This window comes from Homo sapiens, chromosome 12 (genome assembly GCF_000001405.40).
Source record: "Homo sapiens chromosome 12, GRCh38.p14 Primary Assembly".
NCBI classification, from domain to species: Eukaryota; Metazoa; Chordata; class Mammalia; order Primates; family Hominidae; genus Homo; species Homo sapiens.
The window spans coordinates 72,589,463-72,606,318 of NC_000012.12; the positions used below are offsets into that span (position 1 = coordinate 72,589,463).

A 16,856-nucleotide genomic window follows, 5' to 3' on the forward strand; every position below is an offset into this window, starting at 1 on the left:
CCCACATGCATTAGGGGTTTCTATTTGATAGAATTTACCATACATATTTGATAAAATTTACCATCAGATGGGTGTGATGCCATGTGAGCCTGAAATTCTCTGTATGGGAAGGTCCTTAATTGTGAATTTAATTTTGCTCATTGGTATAGAGCTGTTCAAATTTTGTTTCTTCTTGAGTCTATTTTGGTAATTTGTCCATTTCATCTAGGTCATTACAGTCATTGGGATAGACTTATATATAATATTCTCTTATTATTCTTATAATGTCTTATGAGTTTTGTGAAAATGATTTCTCTCTTATTACAGACATTGATGTTTTGTTTTCTCTCTTTTTTGTGATTCTTTTAATTAGAGTTAATTTGTTGATATTCTCAAAGAATCGGTTTCTGGTCTTGTTAATTTTTAAATTATTCTATTTTCTATTTCATTTATTTCTACTCTTTATTGTTTACTTCTGTCTGCTTAAAATTTAATCTGCTTTACTGTTTCTAGTTTTTTAAATGGAGTCTTAGATTGCTGATTGAGATATTTTTTCTTTTCAACATATGCATTTAAAGCCATAAAATTTCCTCAAAGCACAGTTTTATTAGCATCCCATAAAATTTTATATATGGTATCATTCAGTTTAAAATATTTTCTAATTTCCTATGTGATTTCTTCTTGAGAAAAATGATTACTCAAGTATATTACTTTATTTTTTTTGTTTTTATTGATATTTTATTATTTGTTATTTTTAAAACAATTCCATTGTGGTTAGAGAACATACTCTATATGATTTCAAACTTTATATTTTCAGTCTTGTTTTATGGCCCAGATATTACTCTATCCAGGTAAACATACCATATGTACATAAGAAGAATGTGTATTCTGCTGTTGTTCAGAGCATTTAAATCAAGATGAATAGTAGTGCTATTCAGAATTACGTATTTGTTGATATTTTGACTAGTATTATAAACTGATGAGAGAATGGTCTTATAATTTTTAGTCATTTGGAAACTATCTAGTTCTCATTTTGATTCAGTCAATTTTTGCTTTATATATTTTTGTTAATGGGGTCACATACACATTTCTGTTTATCTCTGATTAATTGATGTTTTTATCATTATGAAGTATCTTCCTTGTACCTGGTGATACATTTTATTGTGAAATTTATTTTATCTGCTATTAATATGGTCACTCCAGCCTTCTTAATCTTATTTTTTGCATGCTATTACTTTTAATATATTTGCTGGAAATATCTCTGTATCTTTACACTCAAAATGCATGTTTATACAGCTTATAATTTAAAAAATTTTTATTCTCACAATCTCTGCCTTTTCATGAGAATGTTTAGTCTTTTAGTATTTAATGTAATTATTGATTCAGTTGGATTTAGGTCTGTCATTTTGTTGTTATTGTTTTCTTCTTGTCTGTTATTGTTCCCTCTATCTTTTTATTATCTAGATAATTTCAGAATTACTTTTTGTTTTTTCCATTTGTATTAGTCTGTTCTCACACTGAGACTGGGTAATATAAAGAAAAAGGGGTTTAATCAACTCACAGTTTCACATGGCTAGGGAAGCCTCACGATCATTGCAGAAGGCAAAGGAGGAGCAAAGGCATGTCTTACGTGGTAATAGGCAGGAGACTGTGCAGGGAAGCTGCTCTTTTTAAAACCATTAAATCTTATGAGACTTATTCACTATAATGAGAACAGCATGGAAAAACCCACCCCCATGATTCAATTACTTCCCACTGGGTCCCTCCAACAACATGAGGATTATGGAAGCTACAATTCAAGATGAGATTTGGGTGTGGACACAACCAATCCATATCACTGTTGGATTTTGAGCTATGTTTCTTTGCATAATTTTTCTGCATTACTCTACATACTATAATAAGCATCTTTAACTTTTCATTTATTTTATGGTTAACAATTTACCCCACCAAATAAAATATAGAAATCCTCCAACTACATAAGTCCATATGCTATTTGCTTCCTGCCTTTGTATTAAAATATACATATAATGTATGCATATATATACTTTAAAAAACCCAAAAGAAAATGTTATAATTTTAAAAACATTTATATGCTTATGAAGAAATTAAGAAAAAAAGATGAAAAATAATTTTGTACATACCCTAATATTTGCCAGTTTTTGAATTATTCATCAATTTCTAAGGATATGGGTTTTTTTTTTTTTTTGCTATTATTTCCTGAAGTGCAATTCTGCTGACAAAAATTCTCTAAGAGTTTTCTTTTATATGAAGATTTCTTCATTTTGTTTTTGGTCTTGAAGAATTTTTTTTATTATTATTATAGAACTATGGATTGATGGTGTCTTTCACCCACCACTTTAAACATTTTTTTTCAATGTCTTCTGGCCTCGATAGTTTCTGATGAGAAATCAGCCATTAATTTCCCATTATTTCTGTATGCAATTGTATATTTTTTTCCTCCTGTATTCAAAGTGTGATTTTTATCTTTGACTTTTGACAGTTTAACTATGATATATGCATGCAAGCACTTGCTGCTTATTCTGTATGGTATTTGTTTAGCATTTTGTATTTGCAAATTTTTTTCATTAAATTTGAAAAAAAAAGCTTGGCTTTTAATTGGTCAAATATTTTTTTCTTTCCCATTTGCTCTTTATGTATTTATATTATTCCAGTTATACTTAATGTGAGCCATTTGGCATTATCTACCTTCTCCCTGGTATTCTTTGCCAAGAATAATTTGTATAGATCTCTTTCCAAATTTACCTTTTCTTCTCTTCATTTCCCCCATGTTCAACCAGCTGTTAAGTTTATCCAGTGAAACTGTATTTTTTAGCTCTTGAATTTCCATTTGGTTATTTTTATATGTTTCTATATTTCTTCTGAAATTTTATATTTCTTACCTGAGTTTTACATACCATGAGTACATGCTTTGTATTAGTTCTTTGAGGACAGTTATAAAGCCATTTAAAAGTACTCGCATTAGTTCCAACATCTGGTTTATTTCAGTAACAAGGTTAATTGATTTTTTTAATGTATGTTCTATTATTTTGATTCCTCATAAGTTAGTTATTTTTGGATTATGTACTTGGTAGTTTGCACATTAAGTTGTGGTGATTTTTTTTTTCTCTCTCTCTCTCTATTTTTGTTGTTTCCTTTATTTTTCCAAGTAATTTTCTTGGTTGGGTTTGAAATGCAGTTTTTCTGTAGAGGCAGCTCTAGTATTAGTTAAGGCCTTTTGCCTGTAGGTGATTTCTTTTCTTTTCTTTCTTTTTTTTTTTTCTTCTTTGAGATGAAGTCTCACTCTTGCTACTCAGGCTGAAGTGCAGTGGTGCGATCTCGGCTCACTGCAACCTCCACCTCCCGGGTTCAAGTGATTCTCCTGCCTCAGCATCCCGAGTAGCTGGGATTACAGACACCTGCCACTATGCCCGGCTAATTTTGTTGTATTTTTAGTAGAGACACGGTTTTGCCATGTTGGCCAGGCTGGTCTTGAACTCCTGACCTCAGGCGATCCACCAGCCTCGGCCTCCCAAAGTGCTGGGATTACAGGCGTGAGCCACCGCGCCCCGCTGGTGAAATTTTTAAAATCCCTTTCATATGTGAGTGCTACAGTGATCAGCCAGAAAAGTGAGTAGAGTTGAGGAATATGCTTGCTGTCTCTTTCATTTTTGGGATCTCCTACTCACTTCAGTGTTTATGGTTTCCAAGTTCATTTTTGGTTGCCAGTCCAGAAAGGCTGTGTTTCCACATGTTTTTTGCTGTCACTATGCCACTATACATGCTGTAGAAATTGCACTTAGCCCCAGTCTAAAAGGGAAACCTCACCCCTATTTTATAGATAAAGTGTCTAAGGTTCAGAAAGGGTAAACTTGTTTGCACAACTTTCAATCTATTATTAAATGTAAGAGTTGGAATTCATCAAAACCAATCTAAGTGACTCCAAAGATCATGTTCTTTTATTGTCACCCTTATGGCAGTTTTTTCAGAGAAATAAATTCAGTGATACATTTATGCTCATTGGGACAATAATGAATATTATACAGGTTTTTTTTTTGAGAGGGAGTTTTACTCTTTTATTATTATTATTATTTCACTTTAAGTTCTAGGGTACCTGTGCACAACGTGCAGGTTTGTTACATATGTATACATGTGCCATGTTGGTGTGCTGCACCTGTTAACTCATCATTTACATTAGGTATATCTCCTAATGCTATCCCTCCCCCCTCCTCCCACCCTGCTGACAGGCCCTGTGTGTAATGTTCCCCACCCTGTGTCCATGTGTTCTCATTGTTCAATTCCCACCTATAAGTGAGAACACGCAGTGTTTGGTTTTCTGTCCTTGCGACAGTTTGCTCAAAATGATGGTTTCCAGCTTTATCTATGTCCCTGCAAAGGACATGAACTCATCCTTTTTTATGGCTGCATAGTATTCCATGGTGTATATGTGCCTCATTTTCTTAATCCAGTCTATCATTGATGGACATTTGGGTTGGTTCCAAGTTTTTGCTATTGTGAATAGTGCCACAATAAACATACCTGTGCATGTGTCTTTATAGCAGTATGATTTATAATCCCTTGGGTATATGCCCAGTAATGGGATGGCTGGGTCAAATGGTATTTCTAGTTCTAGATCTTTGAGGAATCTCCACACTGACTTCCACAATGGTTGAACTAGTTTACAGTCCCACCAACAGTGTAAAAGCATTCCTATTTCTCCACATCCTCTCCAGCACCTGTTGTTTCCTGACTTTAATGATCGCCATTCTAACTGGTGTGAGATAGTATCTCATTGTGGTTTTGATTTGCATTTTTCTGATGGCCAGTGATGATGAGCATTTTTTCATGTGTCTGTTGGTTGCATAAATGTCTTCTTTTGAGAAGTGTCTTCATATCTAGACCAGCCTGACCACTTCGAGAAACCCCGTCTCCACCATGCCCGGCTAATTTTGTATTTTTAGTGGAGACGGGTTTTCTCCATGTTGGTCAGGCTGGTCTCGAACTCCCGGCCTCAGGTCATCCACCCGCCTTGGCCTCCTAAAGCTCTGGGATTACAGATGTGAGTTTTTTTTTTTTTTTTAATATTACTAGGTATAAAGTACAAATAAGAATTACTCATATAATCCCATTTGGTATTTATGTTTTGAAATCATTCCCACTTGTCATTTTATTCATTTAAAATTAAAAGTATTTTCTGTATTTTATAAGGCAGTTTCATGTTTTTGGAAATATTTTCAAACTTTTACTTATGAACTACTCTAATGTGGCAATTCCTCAGGGATCTAGAACTAGAAATAACATTTGACCCAGCCATCCCATTACTGGGTATATACCCAAAAGACTATAAATCATGCTGCTATAAAGACACATGCACACGTATGTTTATTTGGCACTATTCACAATAGCAAAGACTTGGAACCAACCCAAATGTCCAACAATGATAGACTGGATTAAGAAAATGTGGCACATATACACCATGGAATACCATGCAGCCATAAAAAAGGATGAGTTCATGTCCTTTGTAGGGACATGGATGAAATTGGAAATCATCATTCTCAGTAAACTATTGCAAGGACAAAAAACCAAACACCGCATGTTCTCACTCATAGGTGGGAATTGAACAATGAGAACACATGGACACAAGAAGGGGAACATCACACTCTGGGGACTGTTGTGGGGTGGGGGGAGGGGGGAGGGATAGCATTAGGAGATATACCTAATGCTAAATGATGAGTTAATGGGTGCAGCACACCAGCATGGCACATGTATAGGTATGTAACTAACCTGCACATTGTGCACATGTACCCTAAAACTTAAAGTATAATAATAATAAAGTGCATTTTCAAAAATAAGCATTCAAAAAAACAAAATAAAGGATATTTTTGTACATGAATTTTTTTATTACGAATTATCTACTAAGATTTGTCTTCAGAACTTTCATTGTTAGGGGAATGATTGTAAATACGTTTAAAACTATTGAGACAAATTGTCAAGTTGTCATTAAAGATAAGCAGATTTCTCTCAAGCAGAATATGAGTGTTTTCCAGAGTGACTAATTTTAAAACTGATGTCATTCATTTCACTTTTTATATTATTCTATATTCTAGACAAAAAAGTTAAGAAATGTTTATTTTTAAAAATATAATTGTTCCCTTTTTAAAAATTTTAATTAAAATGTGCAGTGGTTAAGTTCACTGACTCTGGAATTAAGTATGAACATAGTCTTAGCTTCAATAAAATATGTGACCTTGAGCAAGTTACTAACTTCTCTTATGCTTAGATTCCCCATCTCCAAAATGTGGATAAGACAATATTTGCATCAGAGTTTTATTTTGAACATTAAATAAGATATTATAATTAAAACATGCCATATAGCTTAGGCCCAGTGAGTGTTTAATGAATATTTTCTGTTATTATATAACAGTCCTTGGCAGACTCAGTCATGAATGTGAGTCATAATATTCAAAAGATAAATTATATTGAGCTGAGATTTCAGGGCTAAAAAATTAGTGAATCAGGGATATTCTCTATTTACCTTCATTTCACATCAGTTTAGAACAAATTATTCAGGGTTGATATTATTGAAAATATATACCCAAGTTTTAAACTGAGTCCCTTTTGATGAAGTTGTTGACTCTCAGTTTTCATCTTCATTCATCTTTCTACGTAATATATTCTTTCCTAGTTTCCCTTTGGTAAGAAATATCATTGTAATCCAAAATAATCCTTCCAGTATGCAAAATGTAATTTTAGATATATCAGTTGCATATTATATTAACTTTAGTAGTTTTGATAAATGGATAGAGGAGTTGCAAACATCTTTGAATAAATATGGCTTGAGAGCAAAGAACCTATTAAAATCACTTTTACATGGAAAACAAAAATTCTTCGTCAAATCATAGCTATAAGAAATACATGTAGTTCACTCATTCATTGAATAAATGTTTATGAGGACTCCACTGTAACACTGTTTTGCACTAGATATATACAACAAAAATCTCATAGGATATCCTCAAATGCCTTAGAATTTTGAAAGCTATTGTAATTTCACAATTATCTAACACAGCATTTTATAATACATTGGTCTAAGGTATTTAATATTTGTCTAAAATAATATTGGGTGGTTTAAATACAAATATAACCAAGGAAGGCATGGTCAGTTCTGGATAGTATACTGAAAATTTCGTAATGCTTCACAGAAGAGGTGGCAATTGAAGATTTAGGATGACCTTTGATCTAGAAGGAGACAAGTAATATCACATGAATGTTATAAAGATATCTCCATTCAGCATTATCTGATACTTGATCTCAAGCACTTTAGCCGTAGCTAGTATTTCAGGATGATTTTCAAAGAGACTCAAAATAAAGTGACTGCAACAGATGAATGTAGAAGAAGGAGGAAAACATTTTAAAAAATCAGCATGAAAAAGATAAAATGATAGTATCTTTGTTAAATTTAAGTTTAAAAAGGAATTCCTTACCATTATGAAAATCTATTCTGAATTTAAATTTAAAAACATGCTCAGATTTTAAATCTCCAGATAGTGGATATACAAATTGTGGCTATACCTAGTTAGAGTGATCTGCAAAAATAGAAAGACCATTTAAAAATGTTCCCTTTGCCAACCAGTTTTATTTTTTATGTGATCCAGTTTTAACCATATTTGAATTATATCACTGAGATAGCACTATAAGAAAGTAAAAAGCTGTCACTCTGGAGAACATAAGTGTCTCTAGTTATACACTGCTATGCCGGAACTCACTGATGTGAAAATACGAATGTCTCTCCTTTAGGCCTCATTGAACTGAAAATATTTTGGGGTTTCTTAGTGTTGGATACATGCTTAGAATATTACATGGTATGCATTTTTGGTAATTATTAGCAATGTCGTGATTCTTTTTATATTGTATTATTAGTCAATAGTGATTTGTGAAAACTAAGAGAGGGGCCAGGCATGGTGGCTCATGCCTGTGATCCCAGCACTTTGGGAGGCTGAGGCAGGCAGATCACCTGAGGTCAGGAGTTCGAGACCAGCCTGGCCAACATGGTGAAACCCTGTCTCTGCTAAAAATATAAAAATTAGCCAGGCGTGGTGGCATGTGCCTGTAATCCCAGCTATTCTGGGGGCTGAAGCGGGAGAATCGCTTGAACCTGGGAGGTGGAGATTGGGCTGAGCCGAGATCACGCCACTGCACTGCAGCTTGGGTGCCAGAGCAAGACCTTGTCTAAAAAAAAAAAAAAACTAAGAGAGGTATATATATGTGTGTGTGTATGTATATATATATATATATATATATATATATATATATATATATATATGCATACACACACAAATACATATGTATATAGATATATATTCTGAAATAGAAACTATGAGACTTTTTTATAATTTTTAAAATAGAAAGTATATGTGAAGCTTCTTTAAACACACTAGTGTGCTATACTATTTCTCCTTATACATGTCATAACTCAGGAGGAAAAAGGAAAGGAAAACTGTTGCAATCCTTTTTTTATTAAAATATACCATTCTTCAAAATACCATTTGCCTCAGATATTACCAGGTAATATTTATTTTTCCAAAAAATTGAGCAAATTTAACCAACTCTTGCCTGAACAAATTGATTATGTAACATACCTAAAAAGTGGCAAAAAAAGAAAAGGAAAACAAAGAAAAAACTCAAATGGTTTATAGTTAGTAACTAACAGAGCTAACATCAGTGATCCTATCTATGAATATAGTTAGAATCAACATTTTATTCAACATTTTGTTTACATAGAATCAGTCACCTTTATTCATATTTGATTGCCTAACTTTACAGCTAAGTTTCTACATTGCTTTTTATATTTGAAAATTGTAGAGAAAACTTTACTTGATAAACTTCAAGGAGTAGATAGTTTTGCCACATATCTTCTTTATATTAAATGAAATGCCAATTTTTTGCATGTTTGATTTATATTATTGATCAGCAAACTGGGAATTTAAATGCTTACCTTCTGCAATTTTCTTTTTTGAATACAAACCAATGTCCCAGCTCAAAGTCCAGTATCTTCAAGTGAGGCATAGATCTCTATATCAAGTCTGGAAACCTATGCGTTAACAAGTTGGTTGTCCCTTATACAACCAAGTCTAAGTAGTGGGGCATGGAATAATACCTGCCATTACAAATAGCGATAAATGGAAGCCACAAGGGTCATTGTGAAGAATTCCTGGAGAGCAAAGTTTATTAATTAGATTTTGGTTTTGCTTTTTAAGACTAGCTTCCTGGTTAGTTTTTCTTTTCTTTTTTTAAATTTCAACTTTTTTTTAGATTCAGAGGGTACATGTGCAGTTTTGTTAAATGAGTATGTTGTGTGATGCTGAGGTTTGGTATAGAAATGATCCCATCAGCCAGATAATGATCATAGTACTCAACAGTAAGTTTTTTAACCCTTGCCCTTCGTCCCTCCCTTACCCCTCTAATAGTCCCAAGTATCCATTATTGCCATTTTTATGTCCATGAGTACCTATTGTTTAGCTCCCACTTATAAGTAAGAAAATGCGGTATTTCCTTTTCTGTTCCTGCATTAATTCACTTAAAATAATGGCCTCCAGCTGCTTCCATGTTGCTGGAAAGGACATGACTTTATTTTTTATGGCTGCATAGTATTCCATGGTGTATATGTACTATATTTTTATCTAACCCACTGCTGATGTGCACCTACATTGATTCTATGTCTTTGCTATTGTGAATAGTGCTGCAACAAACATAAAGAGTGCAGGTGTCTTTTTGGTAGAACAATTTATTTTCTTTTGGATATATACCTAGTAATGAGATTGCTGGGTCAAATGGTAGTTCTGGATTATTTGAAAATCTCTACAGGCTGCTTTCCACAAGGACCAAACTAATTTATATTCCCTTCATCAGTGTAAAAGTGTTCCCTTTCTCCACAGCTTCATGAGCATCTACTATTTTTTGACTTTTTAATAATAGCCATTCTGACATGTGAGATAGTATCTCATTGTGGTTTTGACTTGCATTTCTCTGATGATTAGTGATGTGGGTCATTTTTCATGTTTCTTGGCTACTTGTATGCCTTCTTTTGAGAAATATCTGTTTATGTCCTTTGCCCACTTTGTAATGAGGTTATTTGGTTTTTGCTTAACTATTTAAGTTTCGGATAGATTCTGGATATTAGATCTTTGTCAGATGCATAGTTTGCAGATATTTCCTTCCATTCTTTAGTTTGTCTGTCTACTCCGTTGATAATCTCTTTTGCTGTGCAGAAACTCTTTAGTTTAATAAGGTTTCACTTGTCAATTTCTATTTTTGTTGCAATTGATTTTTAGGAGTTAGTCATAAATTCTTACCCAAGGCTGATGTCCACAATGGTGTTTTCATTATGGTAGATTTTCTAGAAAATCCTATATTTTCTTTTAGGGTTCTTAGAGTTTGAGTTCTTACATTTAAATTTTTAATCCATCTTGACTTAATTTTTTTGTATAGTGAAAAGCAGAGCTTTAGTTTCATTCTTCTAGCATATAGCTAGCCAGCTATTTCAGCACTATTTATTGAATAGGGAATCCTTTCCCCATTGCTTATTTTTGTCAACTTTGTTAAAGATCAGATGGCTGTAGGTGTGCGACTTTATTTCTGTGATCTCTATTCTGTTCCATTGGTCTGTGTATCTGTTTTTGTACCATTACCATGGTGTTTTGGCTTACTTACTTAGATTTGGTCTTATAGTATAGTTTGAAGTTGGGTAATGTGATGCCTCTGGTTTTGTTCTTTTTGCTTAGGATTTGTTTGTCTATTTGGGCTCCTTTTTGGTTTTATATGAATTTTAGAATAGTTTTTTTTCTAATTCTGTGAAAAATGATGTTGGTAGTTTTATAGGAATAGAATTGAATCTGTAGATTGCTTTGGACAACATGGCCATTTTAATGATATCGATTCTTCCAATGCATGAACATGGAATGTTTTTCCATTTGTTTGTATCATCTATGACTTATTTCAGCAGTGTTTTATAGTTCTCCTTGTAGAGATCTTTCACCTTATTGGCTAGAGGTATTTTAATTTTTGTGTGTGGCTATTGTAAATGAGGTTGCATTCTTGATTTGGCTCTCAGGTTGAATGTTATTGGTGTATAGAAATACTACCAAGTTGTTCATAATTTTGTTTTCTAAAACTTTACTGAAGTTGTTTATTAGTTCCAGGAGTCTTTTGGCAGAGTCTTTAAGTTGAAGCTAATGCTCATTTACCATTTTGAAAATTCTAGGACTCTTCAGAATTATGCTAAATTTACTTTTCCTGTGCTTTATATATGAAATAACAAAGCTTGGATGACAACACATCTATTTACAGAATGGTTTGCTGAATATTTTAAGCCTACTGTTGAGACCTACTGCTCAGGGAAAACCATTTCTTTCACAATTACTGACAATGCACCTAGTCATCCAAGAGCTCTGATACAGTTGTACCAGGAGATTAATGTTGTTTTCATGCTTGCTAACACAACATCCATTCTACAACCTGTAGATCAAGGAATAATTTTGACTTTTAAGTCTTATTATTTTAAAAATACATTTTATAAGTCTATAGCTACCACAGATAATGATTCGTTTGATGGATCTGAGCAAAGTCAATTGAAAACCTTCTGGAGAAGATTCATCATTCCAGATGTCTTTAAGAACATTTATGATTTATGGGAGGAGGTCAAATTATCAACATAAACAGGAGTTTGGAAGTAGTTGATTCCAACTGTCTGGGATGACTTTGATAGGTTTAAAACTTCAGTGGAAAAAGTCACTACATATGTGGTAGAAATAGCAAGAGAAATAGAATCAGAAGCATAGACTGAGTATGTTGCTCAATTGCTACAATCTCAGGATAAAACTTTGTAACAAATGTGGAATTGCTTCTTGTGGATGAGCAAAGAAAGTGGCTTCTTGAAATGTCATCGACTACTGGTGAAGATACTGTGAGCTTTGTTAAAATGACAACTAAGGATTAAAACATTATATAAACTTACTTGCTATTACATAAAACTTGCTTGATTAAGTATGGTTTGAGAGGATTAACTCCAATTTTGAAAGCAGTTCTACTGTGGGTAAAATGTGATCAAACAACGTCTTATGCTACAAAGACGTCTTCCATGAAAGAGTCAATCAATGCAGCAAACGTGATTGTTGCCTTATTTTAAGAAATTGTCACAGGCATACCAACCTTCAGCAATCACCACTATTATTCAGCAAGACACTGTACCACAAAAAGATTATGGATTACTAAACGCTTAGATGATTGTCAGCTTTTTTCTTAGCAATAAAGCACTTTTAATTAATGTGTATACATTCTTTCTTTAGATATAAGGTTATTGCACACTAACTAGGCTATGGTACAACGTAAATGTAATTTTTATATACACTGGAAAACCAAAAAAATTTGTGACTTTCTTTCTTATAATACTTGCTTTATTGCGGTATTCTGAAACTGAACCTACCATATCTCTGTACATGGTAACAAATTTTGAGGTAATTGGGTACATGAAGTCTGGTTGTGTTCTTAGGATTAAAATAAAATTTATTTGGTGAAGAACAAGTTGAATTCTTTATAGATACTAATTGAATATCCTATCAGAGCTTCATGAGAGTGCTGGCCCCCACACATCCTTCTGAAGGACCGTTTTTTGTTTGTTCTGCTTTGATTTTTAAGGACACTTAGTTGAAGGGAGAGAAATACACATACTTCTATTTCCCTGATTTCCCAACATCAATGTCTAATAACAACCCCAGCAAGGAAGGAAAAAGAAAACACAGGGTTGAAAACTCCATTTGTATGTGTGTGAGAGGGAGAGAAAAAAACAGAGACAGACACAACTCCAAACACTAAAAGTAAAGAACTACTGAAAAATATTGTGAATTGTGGATGAAAATACAGAAGGATTCTGAGAAAATATGAAAAAATTACAGATCCTCTATAAGACAGAGAACTCTACAAAAATAAGACACATCTCTGAAGGGACTGCCTTATTTGGAATAATGAAATCTGGAGGTATGGTGGGTTACACTGGTACATCTTTCTCCACATGGAAGAGCAGGAAACAAATTCAGGCCTGAAAGAGAAGACATGCAAAAGTACCATTTTTGCAAGAAGCAGGGGGCAGAAGTGGTGGGCTGGAGAAGAAATATATATGGCAATTGGCTTGGCAACCATTAATTGAGACAGCTGGAAAAAAATAATTAAATTCTAAATCACCACAATGAGAACCTGCAATATACAGGGTTGAACTGTGAATCACACAGCTCTCCAGCATATTCTGAAATGGGACTGTGGAGCAGAAATATGCCCCTAAACATATGGAACCACTAATTTGATTAGAACCATGTCTGAAATAACAACTCTAAATGTAAACTGCTACTTTTCAATCTATTCCCCACAATTGCCCTTTAGCCACAATCCAGCAGCAACTACTTCTACTGGATAGGACCTGCCCCTTCAACTATGGATGGTATTTAAACATAAACCAGACTGAAATCCTTAGAATGGTAGAAAAATACCAAAAGAAGGATAGTTAGCAATAGCCATAACAACAGAACTATAACACCAAGCAAAAGCTTCAAATATACCCATCTATGTGAGTTCAAAGAGTTCAGATAAAGAAATAAGGCTTCTTTGAGGGGAGTTTGAAGAAAACATGCAAAAGAATAAAGAAGAGATAAGGAAACAAAAAGAATGAAAGTGATCTGGCATGGCAAGAAAGAAAGCCATGTTAGAAGCAGTAAAAAATTTTATAGATTCAGGAGAAATCATTGTCAGGCAAATGGAAAGTAAGCTGGAGATAGTTGACATAAATGAAATGGAAAAAGCAATGAAAGTGATGTAACAAGAGGTATCCTGTGTGTTGGCGGGTGTGTGTGGTGTGTGTTGGTGTGCTCGTGTGTCTGTATTTGATAATTATGAAAGCAAAGGGAAAGAAGTGTGAAGATATAGGCAGAGTAAACTTTCTTATAATAACAATGTAAGTGTGGGCCGAGCGCGGTGTCTCAAGCCTGTAATCCCAGCACTTTGGGAGGCCTAGGCGGGCAGATCACGAGGTCAGGAGATCGAGACCATCCTGGCTAACATGGTGAAACCCCATCTCTACTAAAAATACAAAAAATTAGCCGGGCGTGGTGGCAGGCGCCTGTAGTCCCAGCTACTAGGGAGGCTGAGGCAGGAGAACGGCGAGAAACGGGGAGGCGGAGCTTGCAGTGAGCCGAGATTGCGCCACTGCACTCCAGCCTGGGCGACAGAGTGAGACTCCGTCTCAAAACAAAAAACAAAAAACAAAACAAAACAACAACAACAACAAAAAAACAATGTAAGTATACAGATTGAAGTGCACCCTGTGTTTTAGGAAAGAAATCTCACTCAAAGGGATTAACACTGAGACACATGTTGGTGACTAAACTGAGCTTTAAAGATTAAACAAGGCAAGTTAGCTGGAAAGTAGAAAATTCAGGCAGACTGAGATTTCTACAAGCAAAAATAATCCAGTGGCTAGAATACAAAGTATTGTATGTAATCAAGTTATCCTTTGGCTGCTAAAGGATATGGTGAGTCTTGAATTTACTTACACTTGGAATCAAAGATAAAAAAAAAGAACAATGAAAGTTACAAAATAGAAGGTAAATCTGTAAACTAGGAAAATTTAGAAGTAATTTAACAAAAGTCCAGAGAGGATAAAAAACAGGTGGTATAAAGTGTAAGTGTGCTTATTTCCTCATCTTTCTTAGCAGAGACTCAGAAGAGACAGATTAAACAAACTACAGACAAATCCGTAGGAAAAAATATTATTTTAAGGTAGCTTAACTGAGATGAAATTCTCTTTGAAATAATCAAGCAGCAGGTGTTAAGTTTTTTTTTAAAGGGCATTTTAGTCCTAGGGGATGTGCCAGTTTCTGTCATTTTATCTAAAACTGTCAATTTTGAAGAAGATTTTATCACTTTATCATCTTTTCTCTTAGGTTTCTGCTTCTTAATATTAAACATGTGATTCTTGAGAAAATTATTATTGTTAGCATTGTATATTAAATAATAACAACAATGACTCTTATTAAGATTCCAGAATTTTCTTCTTGTATCAGTGGTTCTCTTACTGAAGAGAAATTTCTAATTCTTTCAATATTGTTGAACTATATGTGATCATTTTAACAAAATATAAAATATTCTTAAACTAATATAATTCTTATTTTGTCACTTTATTTTGCACTCACATTTTGGAATAATATTAATATACTTGTTCTGAATTAACTAGCACTTTTCTGCTGTTATTTTGTATTTTCATTGATGCTTCAACTTTAGAAAATTACTTCTTACAAGTGTTAATGAGGGGTAAATTTTCAGACAGTAAGCATGAACTTAACTATGAGACTGTTATTAAAATTAATGAGTGTCACTATTAGAACATGGTAAATCTATACCATTAATGTCTTCTAATTGTTAATCATCATTAAGGAGTTAGAACATCATTATCATTACTTTTTCTACGTTTTATTTGAACATTATCACCATTAAAGAAAATCAAGGGAAAGTTACAGTCATATTTCTGAGCTGCAGATCCAAGAGTAATTAAATATTTCTAGATGAATAGTGTATTTTGAATTTTGTGACACTGGAAGTTGCAACTAAAATTGAGAAATTTGATAAGTAGGTAGCTATTAGAAGCAACTATCTTCCCTATAATACCTCTGTCCCTGGATGTTTTATAAACTATAAGTTAATGTCCCAAAGGACAAAAAGTATCAGTTATTATAATATATAGGTGTTAGATGATTTCAAAACGCTTTCAGAGTATTTTAATTCTAAGTATTAAAAATTTCCTTAAATAATTCTGAAACTCTTTGTAGGTTCAAATTTTAAAATAAGCTGTTAGCATTATTTCTATGTCACCATTTACATTATACTCCTTGCGACTCAATGTATTTTTTTAGCTTTGCCCTTTATTTCTTTCAGTTACTATTTAGCACCCTTATGAGGGAGAGCAAAGTACCAAAAATCTAATATTCCTGCTTCCTGAAAGATGGTTTCAAGTGGACACAACTGTATTTTAGAGGATACTAAAGTGTTTTCTATACAAAGAATTGTGTATTTGAAGTCCTTTTTCTATCTCACTGGTAATGAAACATATTTTTTCTTTCCACACTTCATCTGCAATAGCATTGAGGGATTTTAACTCTAATTTGGAATACAGCATAATATTCTGAGAGGCAGGAAAAGATCACTTTAAATCATAAAGAATTAGATTAGATATTTCATTTCTCTGTAAGTAAAAATGAATATTTTACTAAGATGAGAGAAGGTGAAAATGCATGACACACATAGAAGGTGTGTCCTTCTCTATCCATTTTCTATTATTCATTATTGCTTGAAATAGTTTCTTTGACGAGCTCTAATATCTTTTTGCAGCTGTAATTCAATGTAAGAAATATGGATGACTGTTTATTATTGTTACTAAATGAAAAAAGCCTTTTTTCCTTGGATACAATAGATAAATGTTTAAAGACAAACAAAATGTCCTTCTTATGTTGTACAATCTACATGAGACAGATGATAGGATATTTCTCTAACTGATGGCTGAGTAAATCACTTCATTTTCATTGTTTCCACAGTGTTGACCAACATGCTGCCAGTCTGACTTCCCACTTCTGATTTAAACACATGATTCAGAATGACTTTGGAGGGTTGTGATACTCACGAATTTATGGGGCACTTGTATGTGGGATTCTCATCACTGTACAGCAACCCTGTCATTTTTGTGACAGAGACTGTTTGACTGGTTTCGGATTTATGATGGAAATAACTCAGAACAGAGTAATAATTTTCCCTTGGCAATTACACTACCATTTGGTACTTTGTCCCTA

General features: G+C 33.5%; 1 protein-coding gene across 4 annotated transcripts in view, besides 1 other annotated feature; it reads left to right on the forward strand.

Annotated features, from left to right (window-relative positions):
- The window catches only part of TRHDE (thyrotropin releasing hormone degrading enzyme), a 583,493-nt gene that overhangs the window by 502,197 nt on the left and 64,440 nt on the right, over positions 1–16,856 (forward strand). The gene's annotated exons all lie outside the window — the stretch shown is intronic.
- Positions 1,460–1,645: a silencer, noted in NCBI's record as "fragment chr12:72984702-72984887 (GRCh37/hg19 assembly coordinates)". NCBI's record gives its function as "represses an EF-1alpha promoter that drives an FKBP-Casp9 reporter gene in an ReSE screen in phorbol 12-myristate 13-acetate-treated (for megakaryocytic differentiation) K562 erythroleukemia cells {active_cell/tissue: K562(+PMA)}" and the evidence as "EXISTENCE:reporter gene assay evidence [ECO:0000049][PMID:32094911]".